Source organism: Homo sapiens, chromosome 5 (genome assembly GCF_000001405.40).
Source record: "Homo sapiens chromosome 5, GRCh38.p14 Primary Assembly".
Classification (NCBI taxonomy): Eukaryota; Metazoa; Chordata; class Mammalia; order Primates; family Hominidae; genus Homo; species Homo sapiens.
In genome coordinates, this window is record NC_000005.10 from 86392060 (window position 1) to 86418929 (window position 26870).

The 26870-nt window shown below is 33.5% G+C and overlaps 1 long non-coding RNA gene and 1 pseudogene across 3 annotated transcripts in view; one reads left to right on the forward strand and one right to left on the reverse strand.

Annotated features, from left to right (window-relative positions):
- Positions 1–26870, reverse strand: part of LOC105379064 (uncharacterized) — a 77685-nt gene that overhangs the window by 39526 nt on the left and 11289 nt on the right. For 2 of the 3 annotated variants that reach the window (XR_001742789.2, XR_948535.3), the window contains 2 exons: positions 17952–18097; positions 16551–16635 (listed from right to left, as the gene is read on the reverse strand). The exons of the other annotated variant lie outside the window; for it this stretch is intronic. This is a non-coding gene — a long non-coding RNA (uncharacterized LOC105379064). Of the gene's footprint in view, positions 1–16550; positions 16636–17951; positions 18098–26870 lie in introns of those variants that run through there. 3 annotated transcript variants of the gene reach the window in all.
- LOC100421863 (ASH2 like, histone lysine methyltransferase complex subunit pseudogene) lies at positions 10270–10883 on the forward strand (annotated as a pseudogene).

Below are 26870 nucleotides of genomic sequence, written 5' to 3' on the forward strand. Positions count from 1 at the left end.
GAAATTAAAGAAAAGGGAAATAATTGAAGGAGTAGACCATGTTCATGTTCATGGAATTAAAGACTCAATACCATAAAACTATCAATCTTCTCAAATTGATATAGTGTGTGTGTATGTATATACTTCTAACAAATATCCTGATTACAGTTCTTCTCTCTGTGGTTAACAAGCTCTCTGATACATATATATATCAGCTATGATATATATATATGATATAAATATATCAGCTTGTGTATATATATAGTATATATAGTATATAGTATATACAGTATATAGTGTATATAGTATATACAGTATATATATATCACACAGGATATATATACACATATGATATATATATACACATATATATTTCTTCATATGTATACATATGAAGAAATAAAAAGCTAAGAATAGCAATGATGAATTTGGAGAAAAACACAGTAGGATGATTTGCTCTACAAGATAACAAGATTTATTTTAAAGTAATTATCTTAAGATAATATAATATTGGAGCAATGATAAATATACACCAATGGAACAAAAAGGGAGGCAAGAAACAGACTGTTACATATAAAGATATTTCATCTGTATAAATGGGCATTGTACTACACTGCAGAAATATGATCTTTTTATTCAGTGACACTATCTCAAATAGATTTTCCAGAAGTCAAGCTGATATTAAAAGCAAAAATCAAGTCTGAGTGGATTGTATATCTAAATAAGGAAGGCAGTCAAATAATCTTCTAGAAGATATTACGAAAAAATGCATCTATTACCTGTGGTATGAATATAAATATTTAACCAAACACCAAAGGCACTAACTGAAAATGAAACAACTTGTAATTTGGGGTCTATTTAAATTAAGAACTTCTTTCACGAAAAGACACAATTATGACAGTGAAAACACAAATCATAAGGTTGCAGAAGATATTTGTAAGACATATTGAGACAAATAGATCTTGTGAAGCGCATATAAAAAGAAACTTAAAATTAATTTTTAAAAGTCAGAAAACCCTCAACCTAAGTGTCCATCAACAAATAAATGGATACGGAAATTGTCACATATGTAAATAATAAAATATTATTCAACCATACAGAAGAATGAAATCCTGTCATTTGCAGCAACATGGATGAGACTAGAGGGCACTGTGTTAACTGAAGTAAGCCAGGCACAGAAAGATAAACATTGCATTCTCTCACTCATGTGGGGAAGCTAAAATAGTTTATCTCATGGAGGTAGAGCATAGAATGGTGGATATCAGAGTCAGGGAAGGGTAGCAGGGAGAGAGTAAGAAAAAGAGCTTCGTTAATGGATACAAAAAATACAGTTAGACAGAAGAAGTAAGTTCTAGTGTTCTATAGCACAGTAGGGTGACAACAGTTATCAATAACATATGTTTCAAAATAGCTAGAAAAGAAGATGTGGAATGTTTTCAACACAAAGACATGATGAATAAGGTCATGGATATCCCAATTACCCTGATTTGACCATTACAAATTATGTGCATGTATCAAAATGTCACATGTACCCTATAAATATGTACAATTATGTATCAGTAAAACTAAAAACAATTTTAAACACTTAGAAAATCCAATTTATAAACATATGGGCGGAGTCTTAGCTAAGTAAATTTTTTGAGTAAAAAAGAGTATATTCAAATGGCCAATGCACATATTAAAAAGTGCTCAGTCCCATTAACTATTAGGTAAATTTGTTAAGAAAAGCTGGAATAAAGTATTACTGCATACCCAACACAATGGCTACATTTCCAAGATACATTAGAAAGTCTTCAGATCTACATGAACCACTTATACTGCTAGAGGAAGTATAAACTTATCCAAGCACTTTGGAAAACAGTTTTGTATTATCTACGAAAGTTGTGTAAAAACACTCTGTCAATTCCACCTCTACATATATGTTCAGTAGAAATGCATGAACATGAAGTATAAATATTAAGCTGAAAAATCTAGGCACAAAATTACATATAAAATGTGACTGTAAAAAATTCAAGATAGAAAAGCTAAAGCAAAGTGTTAGACATATAGATGGTGATGATCTTCTGGGAGTGGCAAGAAGGGAGGATTGGTCATGCTGGTATTCTTCAACTTTTTAACCTCAGTTGTGATTACACAGATAATCATTTTATAATAACTTATTGAGCTATATATTTCTGTATGGAAGACATATAATAAAATATAATAAAAGTTTTTATTATATAAAAACTGAATGTATAATGAAAGTTTTAAGATATGCATACACACATGAATTTATAAAATTGTTAATTTAAAATTTAAGGTAGGAACCCACATTTAAACATGGACATGGTAGTTGTATCAGGGTCCTCCAGAGAAACAGAACCAATAGAATATATACAAGAGTGCATGAGTGTGTGTATGTGCACATGTGTATACATAGTTGATCCTTGAACAACCTTTGGTTAGGGGTGCTGAGCCCCTGCAAGGTCAAAAATTTGTATATAACTTTTGTCTCCCCAAAACTTAACTATGAATAGCCTATTGCTGACTGGAAGCTTTACCAATAACATAAACAGTTGATTAACATATATTTTATGTTTTATGTATTATATACTATATTCTTACAATAAAGCAAGAAAGAGAGAAGAAAATGTTATTAAGAAAATAAAAAAAGACAGTATATTCACTATTCATTAAGTTAAAATGAGTGATTATACAATGAGATACCATCTCACACCAGTTAGAATGGTGATCATTAAAAAGTCAGGAAACAATACTGTTGGAGAGGATGTGGAGAAATAGGATTAGTTTTACACTGTTGGTGGGACTGTAAACTAGTTCAACAATTGTGGAAGACAGTGTGGCAATTCCTCAAGGATCTCAAATAGAAGTACCATTTGACCCAGCCATCCCGTTACTGGGGATATACCCAAAGGATGATAAATCATGCTGCTATAAAGACATATGCACATGTATGTTTATTGCAGCACTATTCACAATAGCAAAGACTTGGAACCAACCCAAATGTCCAACAATGATAGACTGGATTAAGAAAATGTGGCACATATACACCATGGAATACTATGCAGCCATAAAAAAGGATGAGTTCCTGTCCTTTGTAGGGACATGGATGAAGCTGGAAACCATCATTCTGAGTAAACTATCACAAGGACAAAAAGCCAAACACTGTATGTTCTCACTCATAGGTAGGAATTGAACAATGAGAACACTTGGTCGTGGGGTAGGGGAAAGGGGGAGGGATAGCATTAGGAGACACACCTAATGTAAATGACGAGTTAATAAGTGCAGCACACCAACATGGCACATGTATACATATGTAACAAACCTGCACGTTGTGCACATGTACCCTAGAACTTAAAGTATAATAAAAAAAAAAAAAAAGAAAATGAGTGATCATAAAAGTATACAACCAATTGCCTTCTTGTTGAGTAAACTGAGGAGGAAGCAGAAGAGGAAGGGTTGGCTTTGCGGTCTCAGTGGTGGGAGAGACACAGGAAAATCCATGTGTAAGTGGACCATGCAGGTAAAACTTGTGTTGTTCAAGTGATATGAGAAGAAAATTGACATTTTGTCATGTATGATTAGACCCAAGCCCTATAAATGCATGTCTAAAACAACAAAACAATAATTTCAGGGAAAAACTATAGAAATTGATTTTATGCAGGACTCTTAGACTCTTAGTTCCATATTACTCTTGTTTGGTAGTCAGGCAATCAAGTATAACAAAAAAAAAAAAACTGAGAAAAGGATATTGTCCCCATTGTGGAAGAAACTCAGCACAACTTCTGGACTTTGTTAATCTCAGGAAATGCAGAGCATACCAGGCCAGGGGCTTGGGAAACACTAGAGATAGCATGCTCGCATAGCCATTGGGATGGTCACATTGGTCTTTGTAGCTGTAGTAATCAATGTTCAAACATCTCATACAACTTATGGGCAGCATCCATCAAGGTGAGAAACATGAAGAATGTAGTATAAAAGTAACCTGTTTATAAAGTTATGAGACACTGATGGAAAATATTGGGTGATACCTAGTAGGAATTTAAAAACTTGCATAAGGCTAAGTGCAGTGGGCTCATGCCTATAATCCCAACATTTTGGGAGGCCAAAGCAGGAGGTTTCCTTGAGCCCAATAGTTAGAAACAAGCCTGGACAACATAGGGAGACCCTGTCTTTACAAAAAAAAAAAAAAAAAGCCAGGAGTGTGGTGGCATGTGCCTGTGGTCCCAGCTACTCTGGAGGCTAAGGCGGAAGGATTGCTTGGGCCTGGAAGGTTGAGGGTGTAATGACCTGTGTTCACGTCACTAAACTTCAGAATGGGTGACATAGTGAGACCCTGTTTCCAAAAAGAAATTGCATAAAAGGTAGTGATAAGTATCAATGAAATATTAACAAAAATATTTTTTAGCCAAAAGCTAGTTAGGCCAGGAAAATCATGAACTAAAATCTCTCTCTCTCTCTCTCTCTCTCTCTCACACACACACACACACACACACACACATAAATATCTATGAATTTTAACTTTAACATTTATTAATTTTTAAAAATATGAAATTTCGTGTTCTAAATATTAACTGTAGAATTAAACTATTATACACATGGAAAGTTTGACCTCAGAGAGTCACTCTAATTTTTCATGAAATAGTAAATGTGAACAACAAATCATCCATTAACATCATTTATGACTATTTTATATTTAAATATAGACATCATTTTCAAAATGAATTTATATCTACTCAAGTTTATGAAAGAAATACTTCCATAGTTCACTCCAATTCATTCTATTTTAATTTTGTGGCATTACAGTCCATGCTAACAAATCCTTAAAGACACGTTTCAAAGTAATTTTAAAATAAATAACATTCTCCAAAGTTGCTGATCACTTAAAAAAATTCCCAAGAAAAATCTGATACAAAAATTTCTATATAGAGCTCTGCTTTTAATCCTCATAAATAATATATTGTAAATAAGATGTTACATTCATAATTCTATTTACATTTTAAATATTTAATTGTAACTTACAGAAGTCCTGCAGAAGATTCTATTTCCTAATATTCTTAAATCTACTCTACTATAGCTATGGCTTAGGGTAAAATAAATTTTTTTTTTATGAAAAGCACAAGGTAGCACCTTATAAGATTTCACTGTGCCCTATTACAGTTCTAAGAAATATTTTGTGATTATAAGTTGTTATTCTGAACTCTACCTCAGTGTCCACTCTAATTTTTTGTCTTTTTTTAATGTTAAAATACAACCATCTCTGAAGAATGTATTTGCTCTAATCATACTGCCTGGATTTGACTCTGGACCATACGTAACCCCTCTAAGCCCATTTCTGTGCTTACCTCCGTGATAAGGGTAATAGGGTCATTGTCTGTATTAAATGAGGTAATATACATATAGATATCTTGGTAGACTACTTCACATATATTTACTGTTTAATATATAATTACAATTATCATAATAATGATGATGAAAATATAAAGCCTGCTTGAATTGTAACTTGGAATTTACAGATTATGACATTTATTAAAAGCAAAAAATATCATATTGGCATAATCTAAGAATAATAGGATTCATGCCAATAAATATTTCTTAGTGACACTGATTATAGGAAGAAGTGATACAGTCACACTGCTGCTCATTTGATTTGTTTCACTGTTTTAAATCTAATCTATTTGTCAGGATCTAGAAATGAGAATGTGAATACAATATACACTAATTTTCTATCCCCACATCCAGTTTTTAAGGTATTTTACATAAAATTAAAAAGATAGGACAAAGCAAATATGTTCCTAAGAAATACTAGGCCATAAGAAAACTTAAATGGTATGTTTTCTTCTAAACCAATGATCTTAAAAACCTTGAAAACTTATGTCCTAAACGTTGGATAAAATTCTCAATCTATATCTTAGGAAGAACCATACATATGAAACCTTCTATCCTTCATGTGCTTGGAATAAAAGATAATATAGTCGGAGTATAATTACTTTAAGCCAATCTGGTAACAGAAAACATATTCATTATAAGATAAATTATAAGATGATTTCCTCTATGATATTTTTCATCATAGGAAGTCATTACTATTCTTTGACACTGAAACTTCAATTGAATATTTGAAATCTATTTTTATATATGATTTTTCTAGATTCATTTATTTTAAAAGTGAAATTCCATTTAATTTATACTCCTTCGACATTAATGATAATTGCTTTCTTATGATAATTATTCTTTATTCCATTATTTATTTTTTAAAGTTAGCAGATATCTACTTCTGACTTCTGTAACAACACATGTTCTGTTATGACTTTTGTATTAAGCATAATGCTAAAAGGAACTGTTCCTTTTAGAACTGTTTTCTTTCTCAGAATCCCTCTCCCCCAGAATCTGAAATTAATTGTATTGTTTAAAAGCAGGAAAAAAGGACCAGGCCAGTTGTATCCATCAAGTGTACAGAACAAATATCTAGATATGAAATTCCCTTATGTAACTGCACTTGTGAAAACAAACATTTGGCAGCCATTTCCACTCACACAATCACTGCCAAATAATATAATGATAATGGTAATAATAATATTAATTAATAACAAAATAATAATAAAGTTGTCTTTTAGTGGTGAGGTGTTTTGTGAACAAGCTTATTAACCTCCCTATGTTTCTTCATTTACATAATGTGGGTAATAATACTTGCTACACAAAGCAACTAACATCTCACAAATATTTTCTAAATTATAAGGAAATTAAATATTGTTAATTTACAATTTATATGTTCTAAGATGGTTTTCTGAGAAAATAGAGATATTTTTATCCCTTGTCATTTCATTGTAAGTATTTCTCTTACCCTATTGATTTCAACTTAAGTGTGTCTCTTTGTAGTTTATACAATCAACAGATATATATTGAATTTTATATGCATAAGATGCTGTGATAAGTGCTGAAAGAGAAACAAGAATTTAAACAATGTTGCCAACACATAAAAAATTTTCTTTCTGTCAAGGCTTTACATTCAAATAAAAAAATCAAAACAATGCAAATGTTTCCAGAAATGACATGAAAAAAAGTGAACTTGCAAATTAAGATTATTCAGAATTTGCTGTGGGCTTAGTTAATCATAATGTTTAATTCAATCAAGGACTCATGAAGCAGCTACTATATACAGGCACTTTGCTGCATGCTGGGATACCAAAGCAATTCACAATCTACCCAAGAAATTAATAAAAATAAAAATACTATGTGTATAGTTTATAATGTTATTTGGTCTTTAAGTCAGATTCAACAATCGTACATAAAAAATAATTCAAGCATTTAAAATGTAGATAGTGGACCAAAGTAAACAGAAATTTGAAAAACATATTAGACAATGGCTAGACTGTTAACAGCAAGTCATAGTATTTCTGTATTTCTCTCTCTCGTTATGCACCTCTGACTCTAGAAAGTATTAATGCTTTTTCTCTCATTGCCTTGGTTTCTTTCATGTTTCTGGCCTTAATTTTTCACTCACTCAGCTGTAACCTTTATATCATTGTAAAGCACAAGCAAAACATCAGGCTGTACAGTGGGAAAAGCACAGTACTGAGATTCTTATGATCAGTGATCTTGCTCATTTAACTGCAGACATAGAGTATAAGCTTAATAAGACTACATTGAGAATTCTCCTCTCAAAATGCGTAGGTTTTGCCTCTGTGATACCTAAATTTGCCTGTACAATCTCTTTTAATTCTTAACAAGATGTTTAAGATAAATCATGTCATTAAAAAAATGTATGTTCCAATGTTAAAAGCAACTAAATTATTGTTTTACTTCCATAAACTTGGATACCTTAAATTATATACTCAAATCAGACTTGAATAGAAAACTAAATTGCACTACTTATTGAGAAATTTTGTTAGAGCACTAAATATGTCTAAAATGAAATTTCAACTTTAAGATAAATGGTTAATGCTATACTTTACTCTTAGATATTAAAAATACAAATCAAAACCAAAAACTACATTTAAAACTAAAACAGAAGCCATCAGCTTCATCCTCAAATAAATTAGTAGATACCTGTAATGTAAAACAATACATAAAGGATGAAAGATTAAAAATGAAAACCAAATGTACAGAGTAAAGGAAGATGAAGGAATAAGTCTATAAGAAGCAACTCCATTTGTTCTGGAACTCCCCATAATTGGAAGTACCAGGTGCTGCAGAAGTCAGTAGTAAAACATTAGCAGTAAAGCAAAAATCTAAAGAGGGAGCAGTTAGAGCACCAGGTTCTCCCTCCTAGCTCAACCTGACAAACATCTTTTCTCTATTCTTGAAGGGGGTGGAAAACATCATTCCCTATAAAGACTGAATGAAGAAAGCTCTGGATTTGAAAACATCAGGAACACAAAAGAGAGAAAATGCTGTGATGTGCTGAAAATAGTGAATTATTTGGTTGGTGCAAAAGTAATGGTAATTTTTTGCCATTACTTTTAATGGTAAAAGCCACAATTACTTTTGCACCAACCTAATAGTTGAAAATCCAGAGACGTATTTATAGACTCAAGGAAAGAGATTAAAAACTCTCTTCTAAAAATCCTAAACCACACTAGAGAAAAGATTTATATAAACCAACATTTAAGTGTCTTCACTGGAAAAACCACTCTATTGTAAAGGTGATCTTCAAAAAGGCTGGCCATGCACACAAAGCTCTCAAATGTTTCTGAATTGCTTATTCTCAAATATAAATGAGCTACCAAAGACTTTTGAGTAATTTCCAAAAACTTCCACCATTACAAACCACAACAAAGTATAAAGACAAAACTTAGGAAAAACAGAAACAATACAGGAGCAAGAAAGTACACACTTATCCAAATAAATTTAGAGTTAATATGTTCAGAAAGATGACACATGTGCCAATTCACAAGACCGGAGAAAGATGCTAGAAACATGATTAGAAACTATCAAAAACCTCAAGGAATAGAAAACGGAGAAAGAAAAAAAAACAAGTAATAGAAGATAAAACTAAGAAAATTTCCTAGTTAGTAGTATAAAATAGCAAAGACTGAAAAGAAAAATAAGAGAGAAAGGGAAATAAAAGATTAATCCAGTAGAGCCAATATCTAACTAATAAGAATCTCAACACAAGAAAGTAAAGAACATGTTGAAGGAATATTATGAACATATTTTAACACTGAAGGAAATGAGTCTACAAATTGAAAAGATCTACTAAATGCTGAACACAATTATTTGAAAAAGACTCACGGCAAAATAAATCACTGGAAATTTTCAAACATCCTAATAGTAAGCGAATTTAAAAGCATCCAGAGGAACAGCACAAACAAGTAGCCTTGGGCTTTTCAACAGCAACATTAAAAATTATATAATCATGGAGCATAGCCTTCAAAATTCGGAGAGAGCATAATTTAGAATCATATACCTACCCCAAATATCAGGCAAGTGTAAAGTTGGGATAAAGATGGCTTCAAACACGCAAAATCTTTTTTTTAAATTTACTTTTCATGTATCATTTCTCAGATATACTAAACTAAGTATTGCACCAAAACTAGAGAGGAAACTAAGAAAACGAAGACAGGAATCCAAGAATCAGAGGATCCAACATAGAAAAGAGGCGAAAGTAATTCTCAAAATCTTAGGTGGCCAGGAAGCCCGTACAACCAATCTGGATGGAAAAGGGGAATGGGAGTTTCCAGGAGGAGATCCCCAAGAAGAGAAAAGCAGACAATCTTACAGCTTTGATCATTTAGAAAATATTGTGTGCGTGCGTATGTGTATGTTTTCTGGAGAATAAAATGTTCTTCAATAAAAGAAATATATAGTAGATCTCTTGGCTCAGCAATTAATTATTTGCACTGTTTAAATAATAACTCTGGATACTAATTTCAGCAAAAAGTGAAGCATTCGTTTGGAGGATGAGAGAAAGGAAGTGAATGTATAAAGGAGCTCAGTCTTCATTAAATTATTGAAGAATGGGATATTGATATGAAAAACAAAGACTAGGCAAAAAAAAAAACACAACATAGCAGTTTCATGTGCTCTCTCTCTCTCTCTCTCTCACACACACACACACACACAAACACACACCCAGTGTTCAAATGCAGTCTTCCAGGGCTTTATGAAGTCATCAGTGTTTCAAGTTCCTACCATATTTCTGTTCCCATATTCTGAAAATTGGCTTCTGTATTAGGTCTCTATTGCTGCTGTAACAAATTACCACAAACTAAGTAGCTTAACCAAAACAATTAGTATCTTATATTTCTGTAAGTCAGATGTTAAACAGGAGTCTTACTGAGCTAAACTTAAGGTGTCATTGGAATTGCATTCCTTTTTGAGGTGTTAGGAGAGAATCTTTTTCCTTGCCTTTCACAGCTGTTAGGGATCGCTTGCATTCCCTGAATCAAGGTCCTTTCCTCCATCTTCAGAGCTAGTAAACCTAATTATTGGCAGAGCAAAAAGGGAACCAAGATCTACCAGTTCATTGGTAAACACTACTCTCTAGCTATTGACAAGAAGATGCCCTGAGATTTTACGTCAATTTCTTGAAGACAGAGACAGCCAAGTCTCTGCCTGAAATTTAAAAGCTACTTGCGTCTTAGGGAAAAAAAAAAAAAAAAAAAAAACCAACTTTGTAGACAAAGCAAGCAAAGAAGAGCCTAAAGCAGCCTCCTCAACATGAAATAATATTTTATAAAAATGTTGTCAATACAGATGTGGTTTACAAATATATTTTTGAGGGGTTTACTTTCTAGCTATCTCACCATGCAAGAGCAGCATGGTTTCCTTAACTTTGGAACTTGCTTTATGTATCCACCAATAGGTATCACCTACTGGCCTATGAGTGGCATGAGCTAGGGCCTGTGGTAGAACATACTCTGGCTAATGTTTTATATCATATGAGAACAAAAGTCAATGTGAGGTAGATTCCTCTATGGAAACCCTGACCAGGTTCCTCTTTCTTTTCAAACAGAGTCTCTCTGGGAATTAATCATGAGTATATTTTGTTTAATTGTTTCTAATATTCTCCGTAAGATGCTGCAGAACACAGCCTTTAATTTAACTTTAGCAAGTTTAAAGGCTGGGTGGAAACTGGAGAAAATTCCTTTTCCTCAATAGCCTTTCCCCATTTTCAGTGAATGCTCCTATTTTGCATACTATATGGTAACAACTGCTGACTTCACAATTCTGTAAGCTCCCTATGAAACTAGTGCTGGATCAGATATCCCACAACCCGGGCCTTGTTATTGAAGTGTATTTCCTAAGGAGTGAATACTCTTGACTAAGAAGTGCATTAGTCGGGGTTCTTTAGAAAAACACAACTAATCAGATGGAGATGATAGATAGATGATAGATGATAGATAGATAAATAGATAGATAGATAGATAGATAGATAGATAGATAGATAGATAGATGGAGATTTATGATAAGGAATTAGCTCACACTGTTATGGAGGCTGACAAGTTCCAAGGTCTGCACTCAGCAAGCTAGAGACACAGGAAAGCCATTGGGGTAGTTATAGTCAAGTCCAAAGGCCTGAAAACCAGGTGTGCCAATAGTTGTAGTAACAGTTTGAACACCAGCAGGCTCAAGACCCAAGAAGAGCTGGTATTTCAGTGTGAGTCAGGAGGCAGAAAGAATCTATGCCCCCCAGCTTAAAGACGGTCAGGTAAGAGGAATTCCCTCTTATTTGGTAGGGGGTGGAGGGGGTCAGCCTTTTTGTTTTATTCAGAACTTTAACTGATTGGATAAGGGCCACCTAAATTAAGAAGGGTATGCTGCTTTATTCAGTCTACCAATTTAAATGTTCAACATTAAATTCAGTCAAAATCCCTTCACAAACTCATAATAATACTTGATCAGATATTTCAAGCCATAATATCTGGGCACCCAATGGCCTTTTCAAATTAGCACCTAATATTTATCATTACAAGTAGCTTGCTTATTAAAAGATATTTCCTTCTGTGGACAACTCTATCTCACTTATTTCAAAAAAACTGGTGAGCCTATTTTAGAGCAGAGCTGAAACCAACAGCTATACATTCCCAGCCAAATAAAAGCTGTTTCTTTTTGGTGTGAGTTTGTCTTTGTTACTAATTTTAAAAAATATTTTTTTGAACACTGGGATCATTAGGTCTCTAGAATTATAATTGTAAAAAAAAAACTTGCTTGCAGCTTTAACAAAGTTATTATGGAAACTCTTCTTAAATAAAGCTTGTTTTGATTTTTTTTTTTTTAAAGAGAGTTTCTCTCTGACTCTTCCATTATTCGACCACAGTTGTGGCAATCATATTATTAGTTTGAGTTAACCTGGATAACCCATTAACATTGCCACATCTCAAGGTCCATAAATTTAATCACACCTGCAAAGGTCTTTTTTTTTTTTTTGCCATATAAGGCAAAATACTCCAGTCACATTTCCTCATGTCAAGGTCCATAAATTTAATAACACCTGAAAATCCTTTTGGTCATATAAGGCAATATATTCACAGGTTCCAAGAATGAGGATGTGGACATGTGGGTTCTCTGGTGGACTATTCTGCCAAACACCTCTCCCTTCCTTGGTGTTACTTCATGGTCACAGAAGTTGCTACAATTCCAGTCATCATGTCCTTCCCAGAAGGTAAAAAAATTTAGAAGGAAATACCTTCCAACTGATTGACCATCTTTTTAAGTAAACTTCACTAAAAACCTACCAAGCAATTTGTACTTCATGTAATTGAATGGATTAAGTGTTTAATTGGGTGTCACACGAGCACACTCATCTCTCATAGCAGAAAGTCAATAAATTATGATGAAAATCTATAAATTAAAAAATAGCAACGTTAGTATAATACATGGAAAATTTGAAAAGGAAATCACTATATGAATTGGTTTTCTCTGGAGAACGGAATATATGGAAGGAAAGGGGAGGAGGGACTTCTTTAGTCTTCATAAATTGCATGGCACTACCTAACTCATTTAAATACGTGCATGCATGTTTTGATAAATAAAACAGAACAATAATTTGATCTACCGATTTACAGCCATTTCATCCTGGTTTTTCCTCTAGATTTTTTACAAGGATTGACCCTATGGCTAGAATGCCACTATTATGCAAGTGCAACAAGACTCTCCTGCAAATAGCTGCAGGAAAGCCTCCTTATTTAACTCTACAGTATTTATCTTATTAATTTAAATGTTGGGGTATTTTTTTACTTATCTCTCAGTGATTCTTTTATCACTTATTTTTGAGATTTTATATATATATATATATATATATATATATTTAACTTTTTAGTATCTTAAATTAGCTCTTAAAAGCAACAAAAAATAATTATTTGTGCAGCTTATTTTACCCAGAACCCCAGCAGAGCTGTGTTTAACAGATTCTGAAGAGGAGATCCTACAATGGAATTTCAAACTAGCATTCTTTGGCAATTGTAATATTGTATATTTTGATTGACTAGATTTTGCAGTTTCCAGAGGTTTCTAAGAAGATAAGTAGTTTAAAATGTTTTTTATGTGTTCCCACATACATAAAATGCTAAGAGAGAAAAATGATCCTTTCCCTATCTGAGTATCCTGCATTTTGTAATGTGACCGCTGAACTAAGTTTTCTTTAAAACACTATTGTTCATTTACCATTCATTCAACGTTCTCCCTTTTGCTCAGAAAATAGGGAACTCAATTTCTGTGATGGTCAATGGAACTTTTGACAATTTAATGAAGAAACCTGGAGAGTCAGAGGGTAAGCAGAGAGATGTTTTTTCCTTATATCAGGAAACAGCACTGAAGTGGTAAATATGCGGTTTTATTTCTGTTCTTAGTATCATAGCCTGGCCTGCCTGCCCCTAGTTTTAAATTGGGAAGCATCTCAGAGAATTCTCTGAACAATAACTGTTCTTTTCATTTTCTCATGATTTGCTACCTCTATTAGATGGGAGTAGAAAACACAGCTAGTTCAGATTGAAGCAAGAATGGTGTTTCCTAACATCCATTTTCTTCCTGCTCTTCATCTCTCTCTCCCCACCTTTGGCTAACCAGGGAAATTTACTATAACTTATATACCACAAAAGAATTTCAGGCTGTATTCTACTGAATTGTGAAAACATACATGAAAGACATGACCCAGGATAGGCAAGAGTAGTAATAAACCTTGGGCTTCTGCCTCCCCTGTGATTCTATTTGAAATCACCTAATGCCTCTATTTATATGAGGAAGGAAAAATGTGATCTATATCACTAAGTGAAATATCCCAGCCAGGTTCTGTTGCCTAAGAAAATCTTAGATGAGACCAAGGAAAGCACTTATATCTGCTTAGAACAATACATTGTTAGTGAACATCCAGGCACAAAATAATGATTATAGTAATAACAATATTATAATAAATGATAAGTAAGGATGACTCTAGGACAACATCTGATTAAAAAATGTAAAAAATCAAGAGGACTCGAAAATATTGGAGTCAAACTAAACCAATAATTCTCAATTGGGGTGATTTTGCCCCCCGGTGGGGCACTTGGTAAGTGTTTGGAGACATTTTTGGTTGTCCTAACTAGGGTATTCTACCGGTATGTAATAGGTAAAGTTCAGAGATACTGCTAAATCATCATACAACACAGAGGACAGCCCCCACACAACAAAGAATCCATGGTTTAAAGTTTAATAATTCTGTAGCTGAGAAATCCTGAGTTAGACATTAATTTTTAAATCTACTAATTGCATGAGACAATAATAAAACTGACAGAATAAGAATAATAGAGTGCATTATTTTGGGTAATAAAATGGGATCACTTTGATATGCTATATTATACATTTAAAGCAGACAGAAAATATATCAAATGAAATACATCTTCCAAAATCCCTGGATATTGCATTTGAAGCAAATTCTGCTCACTTCAACACTCTCAGCTTTTTCAGTAGCTAACAGTTTAGCTTCTATTGCAGTTTTAAAATGTCTAGGTTTACCTAGAAATGTTACACATAAACAGAGAGCTGGTGAGATATATTCTCCTGTATATAACAGTAGTCTATCTTCTGCCACTAGCTGAAATGGATCTTTCCCAGCAACTGTGTTTTAAGTACCTTCACTGCTCAAAGGTCACGACCTTCCCTCTAAAGCCTTCCCAACTCCCCTAGGAAAGACATAATCATTTTTCCCCCTCTTGTTCTCCAAGAATACTTAGTGAACCTCTCAGTTATAAACTCTTTTTACATAGTAATTATTAGCAAATTTTGCTTATCATTTAATCTCACAAAGCCCTTTGTGAGCTCATGCAGGATAGAGATCACATCTTATTTTTCTTAAAACTGAGCACAGGCTGGGCGTGGTGGCTCACACCTGTAATGCCAGCACTTTGGGAGGCCGAGGCGGGCAGATTACCTGAGGTCAGGAGTTCGAGAGCACCCCGGCCAACATGGTGAAACCCCGTCTCTACTAAAAATACAAAAATTAGCTGGGCATGGCAGCAGGCGCCTATAATCCCAGCTACTCGGGAGGCTGAGGCAGAAGAATTGCTTGAACTCAGGAGGCGGAGGTTGCAGTGAGCTGAGATCATGCCATTGCACTCCAGCCTGAGTGACAAGAGCGAAACTTCGTCTAAAAAACAAACTAACAAAAAACAACTGAGCACAGACCCTGGAACAGAGTAGATGCTCAAGATGCTTAATAAATATTCATGGGATGAGTAAATGAGAATGAGTTTATAACTTGGATTATTAGATTCAGGAGATCTTGATTTGAATCTGTGTGCTTAATGTTACTAAATATGGTTTAAAACTGTATCCATCCAGACTGCCTAAATAATCTAACACAGATCACAGTTATATTCTCTGCAGAATTTAGTGTTAGAGACCTGCAGAGTGCACAGAGTTTGAGTGCGCAAGACATATGGCTCCAGAGAACATTAAATGTCAGTTAGTGTACATGCAGAGACAGGAAGGAAGGAAGGGAGGGAGGAAGGGAGGGAGAAAGGAAGGAAGGAAGGAAGGAAGGAAGGAAGGAAGGAAGGAAGGAAGGAAGGGGTTGGGAAGAAGAAAAAGAATAAGGTGGGGGAGAAAGAAGGAGAGAACGAGAAAGGAAGGGAGGAATATTCCTCCCTACATTCCCAGGTGCCATCTTAGTAAAACAGGCTTCAGACAGCAGACAACAATAAGAGATTGAATACTCTTTGGTAATAACAAAGAAAGCTGTTGAAATCAAACAGAGGTATGTATGACCTAAAGGTTTATGAAAAATTAACAGATCACTTTTTAAAAATCAATTTCTAAATCCTCAAAATCTATATGTCCTCTTTCTGAAAGTGAGGTCCCAGACCTTTATTCTTTCCCAAACTGATATTCCTGATAGCCCTGCTCCCACTTTATGAAAGACAGGCATATGCCTCACTCATCCAGAATCTTACCTTTGTGTAGTAAGGTGTATATACTGAGGATTGTCCAACCTAACAGGGGATAAAATCCACTAGTGGGGCCTATCAAAATGACAATTTTAAATACTAGCCTCTATACAACTTCCTTGGATTAAGGTACCGTAATCCTTTGGTGGAGTTTTGTGCCTTTTCCTGACACAAATTTTGGTTAAGAGGGGGAGTACAGCATTAGATATGAGACATTTTAGCCGTGTTTGGGATCCTATGTCATTGACTCTTCCTTCCTTTATGACTGACAAAGACTGTATTCCTCCTGAGAGTCCTGTGAGAGCAATGCAAAGAAAGATTCTGTATGAAATATTGTAAGTGCCAGCATCTTACTTCATCTAGGCAAAAAACTCATTGCAAAAGCCCATGCCTTATTAACTATTTCTCTTAGATTCACAATGATTAAGATATGTGCAAAGTAAACTGTGAAATGCCAATCTATTGCAAAGTATACCCTCACGGCATTTTGACAATTCTCAGTAATGAGAAAAAATTGGATGATTACTCTCATTTGCCCTTGCCCAGATCGGTGTCTCAGTTGCATGTTTTATATGATTTTTATACGGAGCAGGAAAAATATTCTGCATTAACTTCCAAAACATGAATGTTCATGTTCCAAAATATGAATCAATTAACATTCAGGACCTATTCAGGTGAAGAAGACAGATCTTGAATGTTGGTTGATATATTGTATGCTCTTGGTCTTTTCTTCAACCCCCACAAAGAATATTTTTTATTGACTATTGTAAATATATATATATATAAATATTATAAATCCATCTTCATCTTTTACTTAGGTTACTTTTCACATTCTTATCACATTTCAACATATCTGTATTATTTAACAGGAGTGTATTATAAATTCTGATATAAATATTTAGCAGCAGTAATTAATACACATGTGTTTCCCTATCCTTTTAAATACCCTAATCCTAAAAGTCCCCCACTCCTGTTATAGGACAAAATGTTTCCCAAATGGATTCAAATGAAGAATGCCCTGAACATAGAACAGCAGTTCCATATAATTTAGATGAATCCTCTCAGAAAGGAGTTGAGGTCCTACTTCAAATGTTCTTTCAACTCCTATTCCTTTCTTCACAAACCACCCCAACTCTAAAGACATATTTTCTATCCTGTTTGTCAATGAACCAAATGGCATTCTGCCTTTTCCTTACAAATAAATGGAAAAGCAAAAGTGTTGAGTCACAGTACTGTTGAAAGTACCACCTCTATAAAATATTAAATATGTTCAAGTTATTTTGCTGAATAAAAAAATTGTTAAATTTCTTTCTCCTTGAAACCCAGAAAGATAAAAAGTGTCTGCTTGTTAATGGCTTAATATAAAGCCACAAAATATCATCCTATCTGTTTATACAGTAGCTAATTAGATTCACACTTGAACATATTACAGAAAAACTTTTTTTTAATGTAGAGAGGAGCAACCCCTTAAGAAAAAAGAGAATACTGAACTCTGTAATGAGAGAATAAAAACCTGAATCTACTTAAAAACATAACAACAACAAGCCTCTGAAGAAGAATATGTGCATCTGAAAAGTGGCATAGTAGGAATTGCAACCATGAGTAACGTACATTGACAAAGGAAGAAGGTGAATGGAAGCAAGATATATTCCAGGTAGATATTATGGAGAAGTTTTTCTGCAGTTGACTGACTAATAGGTTTCTTCAGAGGCGATTTGAAAGTAAATCATACTCCATAAAAGATGGAAAAGCAAAACCTAAGAAAAGCGAGAAAAGGAATTTGTTGACAATTGTGCAATTGACAGTCGATCCTTGGTATCAGCAGACACCAAAATCCCCTCATAATTCCCACAGCTGGCCCTGTGGAAGCGCAGATAAGAAAAGTCAACTCTCTAAAGGCGGATTTCACATCCTGGATACTGGATTTCGGATCCGCGTTTGCTTGCATATTCAGTACCTGCCAATATAGAAAGCACAATATATTTATTGAAATTTAAAAAATTAAGTAGAAGTAGATGAATGCAGTTCAAATTCATGTTTTTCAAGGTTCATCTGTATTTTGTTTGGTGGGTAGAAATACATTTATGTAGTGTGTGAAGCATTTCTTGAGCTGAATACAGTAATTAAGAGCTCTGCTTCTAGAGTCAGAAAAACCTGAGTTCCTTACTATCATGAAGTCTTTATTTCCTATGTCTGATATGAGACTCACAGATTTATGGAAATAATATCCAGCACATTAAAAGCTTATCTCAGTGTCTAACACAGAGGAAGTCATCTTTTTTAAGTATGTGTGTGTGTGTGTGTGTATATATGTATGTGTGTATATATATATATATGTATGTGTATATATATATGTACTTTAAGTTCTGGGATACATGTGCAGAATGTGCAGGTTTGTTACATAGGTATACACGTGCCATGGTGGTTTGCTGCACCCATCAACCCATCATCTACATTAGGTATTTCTCTTAATGCTATCCCTCCCCTAGCTCCCCCGCCCCCAACAGGCCCTGGTGTGTGATGTTCCCCTCCCTGTGTTCTCATTGTTCAACTCCCACTTATGAGTGAGAACATGCGGTGTTTGGTTTTCTGTTCTTGTGTTAGTTTGCTGAGAATGGTGGTTTCCAGCTTCATCCATGTCCCTGCAAAGGACATGAACTCATCCTTTTTATGGCTGCATAGTATTCCATGGTATATATGTGCCACATTTTCTTTATCTAGTCTATCGTTGATGGACATTTGGGTTGGTTCCAAGTCTTTGCTATTGTGAACAGTGTTGCAATAAACATACATGTGCATATGTCTTTATAGCAGAATCATTTATAATCCTTTGGGTATACACCCAGTAATGGGATTGCTGGGTCAAATGGTATTTCTGGTTCTAGATCCTTGAGGTATCTCCACACTGTCTTCCACAATTGTTGAACTAATTTACACTCCCACCAACAGTGTAAAACCTTCCTATTTCTCCACATCAGAGAGGAAGCCTTCTAAAGCTACATACGCTGCAGATAGAAACATACCCCATTGGCTCTTCCTTGAAAGGTGATTTTAGTTTGGAAGATTAACATATTTTAAGTGAAAGAAATACTTAAGGTAAATCTGGGAAAGAATTTCTTCTCGCTCTACAACTGCATGGCCACACCACAAGCTCTGGATATGGAGACTATGACTAGAGTATAGATTATAAACTACTTAAAGTCAGGCATCAAGTTTTTCATTTCCCTCATACATTCTCCACATCTTTTTATACTGATCTGTTCACAAGCAGCACATGATAAACATTGACTCAGTATATGAGTCAATGATCTCTACATATCTAAACACAGATAGTTATTTTCATTAATTCATCACTCAGTTCTTTGAAAGATTTCACCTGCCAGGACACTGACTCCTGTCATGTCAAAAGCAGCATCTCAGTACTAAAACCAGCACAAGCACAGCAAGACATACTGTGCACAGAAATCATGCACTGCTAAGATGAAGACATTATAATGAGAGCAAGGTAACAAGCAGAATAACAATTTGCCAACAAAAGACAAATTTTCTTCCCTTGGAAGCGATATCTACAGAGAATACCAACAAGGAAACTGCCTGTCTGGGATATATATTCTTATCAAGCAATGCATTTCTTATCATGATGAAAAGGAAAATGAATCCATGGCTAATACTGATAAGTTAACAGAGATATTGTGGTTCAGTAAACATTAATTTATCATTCCATTGCTAAGAAACAAAAGGAAATAAAATAACAAAGGAAGAAGGAAAGTGTAAAAGCAAAACTATACACCTTATGAAATACATAAAATAGGTAATTGACAACCAGTTATGAAGTAAAATATTTAAAATCAGATTCTCTAATTCTGAAACAAAGGAGGCTAAATTAAAATTTTATTTCCTCCTTGAATTGAAGAGCCTATCATTTAAGTAAAGCTTGGAAAAAACAACCCTCCCCCACAAAATAGAATAAATGAATGAGACAATATTATGTACAACTGAGTATCATACTGAAAATCTAAGCCATGGGTGAAAATCCTCATTATCCAAAAAGATTTTCCTAGATAAATTTATTAGCCCTCTATTAACCAATTACTACAGGTGTCTTTGCTTATCCAGTTTTTAATAGAGAAGTAATCTGCCAACCTTTTGAAGTGGAAAAATATTTTAAAGTATTATCAGTAGTGCTATAAAGTTATAGGCTACTTAGTAAATATTAAAACAATGGGTCAAAATTAGAGTTCGGATGACTCTAAACTTGATTGCACTATTATCAAACACCATAGGAACTACAGAAATGCTTAACAGAAATGATGATAAATTAAGCAATTAGATTAACCCTTACAGCTATGCCATTATTAAAAAGAACACACCTCTAGCCACCATTTTAATAATGCTATTAATATAATAAATGTACCTAATTCCCATTAATATACTAACGTTACATTGTGTGTATTATGTAACTTGTGAGTATACACTATTAAAATCATTTATGTATTATATATACTTTCCATAATAAGTATAAATAGCTTAAATTCTTATTCCATTGTTTTCATTGAAGTGTTGGGAGTAAGACATATTAGAGTTCTTCAACAGATTTTGCTGTGTACAAAAAAATTATATCTGAATGATTGTTGTTTATGCCAAATTAGCACAGTCAGATGTTACTATAGAAAGACCACATGGCATGTGGGAATATGATATGATGTTTACCAAAGCAAGAAAGCAAGCTCTGGAGGCAGATGACCTGAGTTCATTTACATTCATCCTATCTAAAGTGTATATGTGTTGCCTTGTATCATTCTATAGGTCCTGCCATTTATCTATTTGTTGTCTGTTTGTTCTAATGTAATAGTTATTAAAATTCTCTCTAAGCCTCAGTTTCTCCACTGTAAAATAGAAATGCAAATAGAATCCATATAATACATTTAACACAAGTCCAGGCACATAGTAAGCACATAAATAAAATGGCTTTAGTTACTAACCAGCAAGTTAAGAAGAAATACTCTTACTACAATATTACATGTATTCCTCATATCTGAAGCTTTTACTTATTAATGCAACTAGCATTTGACATGATGCCAGTTATTTATTTATTTATTTTTTTTTTTTGAGACAGAGTCTCGCTCTGTCGTCCAGGCTGGAGTGCAGTGGAGCGATCACGGCTCACTGCAAGCTCCAACCCCGGGCTTCACGCCATTCTCCTGCTTCAGCCTCCCGAGTAGCTGGGACTACAGGCACCCGCCACCACGCACAGCTAATTTTTTTTTTTTTTTTTTTTTTTTTTTTTTGGTAGAGACGGGGTTTCACCGTGTTAGCCAGGATGGTCTCGATCTCCTGAGCTCGTGATTCTCCCGCCTCGGCCTCTCAAAGTGCTGGGATTACGGGCGTGACCCGGCCAATATTTTGTTTTTTATTAGGAGTATTAAACAATTATATTCACTTTTAATTCAATTCTTGCCTTTCTACACTGTGTGTATACTTTTTTAAAAATGAAAACATTACTAACAACAAAAACAAAATCACCAATTAAAATTCTTCACCCCAAAATAATTCAGAAACATAAACATATTTACATGGTAGAAGGGTATGTGGCAAACCCTATAATCAGTCATTTTAAACATTCTGTTTCACATGAAGCTTCACTCTAAATTCATTTAATAAAATTCTTAAGAAAATCCTTGGATGGTTAATTACAAGATAAATGAAGATGAGCTCAGATTATTTTTGATTCCTTCTTACAGTTTTCATTGTGCTCTTCTTCTAAAATAGATATATAGGTTTAATATATATTTATTATATATATACATATCTATCTCTATCTATCTATAGATGTAAAAGCAAGTACAAATGAGGTACAAAAAAGAAAAAAATCGTTTTTAAAAAGAGGAGAAAAAATAAAAATAAAATAAAAAGAGGAGGGTGGTTCCAAAGATGGACTATCACAGCCACCAACAAAGGGAAATTTCCATAAAGGAAATAATCTCTCCTTTTAAAATAAAAAATTAGCTTGACATGGTGTTAAAAAGATGATGGAATTAAAAACACGGGCTGATTTTCAAGCATAGTTTGCCTTATGAAACGCACAATGTTGATCACAATGTAAATGTGCTGACTTGCCGGTGCCCACTCTCTGAGTTTGGCTTGCCTGTTCTAGCATTTGTACTGTACCAATTCAATTCCCTCACCACTTTCCTCTATTTGAAAAACTGTGCAACCTATTTGACATTTTCTTGTCCAAATATATTTTTTATATATCAAATCCTCCTCTTTTAAATTTTCCATTTACTTCTGATTATTACGTATCACAAGTTGATACCAACAATATCAGGCTTATTTGGCAGTAGGTTATTTGGCAGTAATCCACAAAACGCAGAACATGCTAATATCAAATTCTGTGTTATCATCAAACATTGTTTTTGCTTTACCACTTTTTAAAATTGAGATTTTTTTCGAATACCATAAAATTCACCCGTTTAAAGTAAACTACCATCTGTGGTTTTTAGCATATTAGTAAGGTTGGGCAACCATCACCTTTGTCTATTCCAGAACATTCTCATGACCCCAAAAAGAAAGCCCCATAACCATTAGCAGTCTCTCTCATTTTCCCTCTCTCCCCACCCCAGGCAACCACTAATCTACCTTCTGTCCCTATAAATTTGCTTATTCTGGACATCTCATATAAATAGAATCAAACAATATGTTATCAAATTTAATCACAACATTTAAAAACAGAAAATCTGCCAACCCTTGAGAATACGGCAGCAGAGCTCAATTAAGGAAATATTTGTATACAATAATACCAAAGCAGGCAAAGAAATATGATGGAGGAAAATTTTTTAAAAAAAGGAAATGGAATACTTTTTAAGATCCTACTTTAAAATATTCAGTTCTTACCCCTTACGGAATAAAAATCTCCAAGGAGAAAGCCTGGGTGTTTGTATTTTAAAAAGCTTTTCTGGGGATCGTGGTATTTGGCCAGGTTTGCTTTAGGCCATACTCTGACTCATTTCTAATGCATGTCATTTCTAGAATTTGATTGATTCAATGATCCATTTGCAAGAGTCTAAGCCATTCAGTTTGATATGTTGAAGAAATACAAATAAATAAATAAATAAATAAATAAATAATTCAAATAGCAATCCCACAATATGCTAATGTTTTAATAACTTCTTAGTTTGTCTATGCAATAATTAATTGCTTAATTGTGTTTCTAGACATCTACAAATGTGCATAATTTTAAATTTTACAATAAAAATTAAATGTATATTTATTTAGATTTCTTAGTTCTTGCTTTCATTTATTTTGCATAAGCAATGCTACACACATGCAAATTGATACAAACAGAAATTAAGCTCCCACAAATTATTTCATTTATGTTTCTAAATAGACTCATAACTAACAGAAAAAATTTACCAGAAAAAATATAAACATTTGTATTTAAAATGGTCATGTCCAAATATCATGAAAATTTTAAATATAATTTATTACTTTATGTAAAAAGTGGTGAATACTGAAATAGCTACAGATATGGTAAAAGATCAAAACAATTTTATTTCCATTGAATTTTAAGATATGCCAACAAATGTACTTTGTTCTACATTTCCTTCACAAATATTTTGTCATCTCTCTCTGCCTGAAGCTTATCTCAGTAATTAAATGCTTTGAATTAAATTTTATATGTATTTTCTTTTTTAATTCATCACTTCATATCCAATATCTCTGACAAGATATGTAGAATTGAGTCACTAGAAGGTTATATATGACCAATAGCATTTATTGTAAAGAATAGAAACACTGGTATGAAGCTACCTGAATATATGTGGTAGGCTCAGAAATGCTACTACCTTCTTTGCCCCACAAGCAAAGACAGATTAAAATATGTGCCTCACAGTGGATTTTTAAAGGGCAGGGCAAGAGAGAGAGCAAGGTAGGCCAGGGTTCTAGCTAGGCCAGGATTGAAGATGGGGAGGGAAAATCAAACTACTTTGGCATTGAGTCTTAATCAACAATATAATTTCTGATAAAGTTCTATCTCAGCAACTGGCCTTAATTGTTCAAATGTATCAAAGGACATGTAACCACCATAAGTTTTGACAACCACACCAATCCTTTGGGGGAAAAATATACTGCCTCAAGACAATTCTTCGTGAAATGTCTTGCTCTATCTAACATAAGATAACATAGTGTAGGTTGCTCCATTTCCAAAACATTTTAGGAGTCTTGATTCCCCTCAATTGATTTATAGTTCCTCCTACAAAATTCTGAGTTCTTAACATACCTACCTCATGTTAATTCCTGGGCAACTTTTGCAATCAAGCTCAATAGGCAAAGTGCTACATTACTATTGAGAACTACAAAAAGATATGGTCAAGAGTATTGCAATTCATTGAATAAATCGCTAGGTTGAATCCAAATTTAAGAATAGAAGAATTTTTTTTCACTGATTTACATTAAATTTCAGAGTTACTTTGCTGTTTTTCTTTTTTCCCCCTGATTATCCTTATATTAGCTCTGGCATCTTCAGTTCTTCAGTTAAAAGTTTGTTTGTCCCAGGCCTCTGTTAAGTAGATAATATTTTGAAATACATGTAAGGCATTGTTAACAGGTCCTTTGGGTTAATCTCATTAGATAAAGAATACTTTCCATTGAAATTAAACACCAGCCTTCTGGTTAATCATTTTTGTGACTTCAGGTTTTCATATGCAGAATTTATTTCATCCATTACATTTGCTCTTAGAATTTTTTTTTTAATTCTTCTTTCCAGCTGTCTCTTGATTACTTGCTTTCAGTTGGTATTCTCTCCCAACAGTTTGTATTTTTCAAACACTGTTAACTAGCTGATTAGCTACTTTTGTTACTTTTAATCAACTATATCAAAAATAGTATTTCTTCAACTTTTCTGAGGTTGCAATCTACACATGTACCTGTAGAATACACCAAATAATTCTGATTTTTTATTGTCAAATACTCATGTTTTCAAACAAAATAAAATCTGCTTTGCAGAGTCAAATTGTGCCAATTTGATATTTTTGTTAGATTAGCCACAAGGAAGTTTATAGTTTGAAGCTAGATTGCTTGAGTCTCTTAATAATCTTGTTCTTGCTCATCTAAATCCAAATGATTATATGACTTAGATCCTATTGGAGTTTATCCTAAACTACACTAAATCAAGCATGGCAACAATAATCTTTGATTTTAAAAGGTGTGTATTCAGATGATGAGGACTATATTTTAAACATCAGGACAAAGGCAAATTTAAAGCTCCAAAAATAAACATGGCTCTTGTACTGGATACCTTTTTTTTTTTTAATTTGCCACTTATTCTGATGCATGGAAGATTACAGTTATCTCCTTTTTTCCCTGAGGAATTCAAATGCTGGTCACATAAAGCATCTTATTCTCATTCTGACAGGGTGAAAGAATTAGTACTCCACGTAGCAATCTTGCTCTCCCTCCCTCTGCCTGTTGCCAGCTTACTTTTTGTTCTTATACTACAAAAGCAGAAAGTGATTTAAGTTTAATTTTTCTCCTTTGAAGTCATAATGAATAATCATAAGGATAAGTCAATATGTTTTAAGAATCCAAAGGATAATAACTCTGTTGTATTCATTTTCTCAAAACAGATGCCCCCTGGAAAGCATATTTCATTTTTGAAACTTTAAAAATATTACCCAGCAAGGGATGGGATAGATATATAAGTTATAAGTCACAGCTGTTTAAAAATCACAATAAACCCAAATCTTAAAAATTCAGAATAAACTGTTAATATTTATAAGATGCCATATTGCCTCTTACCTAGATTAATACACACTGAAACTACATTTCTCTCTGAAACTGACACATAATTTATTTTATGAAGTAGTGAGAACAAAACTAATAATTCCACAATAACAAGGGGAACAATATGATTGTTTTGTATATGTCATAAATATATACGTATCTATCAATATTGAGCATTGCAAATATATTAACAAATTCATTTGCATAAAAACACAATAAAAATTTAAAAGAAATGAAAGTTTAGCTGTACATTTTTATAAATTGGCAACCCATCAAGAAAATACTGCTAAACATTGCTTTGATTACTATAATTATTTTTTAACTTTTGGAGAGTACAGGATGAGACTATTTTGATTACAATTTTGATTAAGAAACTGGAAATATGACTAATAAATTTAGTCATATTTATCAATTACTTCCTTTTTCACTTAGAGCAAAATTACATCAATAAAAATTTCTGTATCAATAAGTACCATTTTACTTCTCTTTCAAATATTCATTTGGATTCTCTTCCTTCTGGAAAGTCTAGTTGGAGACAAGTTAGCTGATTGAGTAAAGAAATCAAAAGTCAAAAGAACTGTAAATTAAGTCAGTCTATGTGGAACAAAGAATATGGACATTAAATAGCTCTAGATCCTCAGCTCTGTCATTCACTAACTATATCACCTCACATAAGTCTGAGTCTGAGCCTTAGACAAGTTTACTCACCTATAAAATGGAGGTTATAAAAGCTAAGGAGATTTTTTTCTT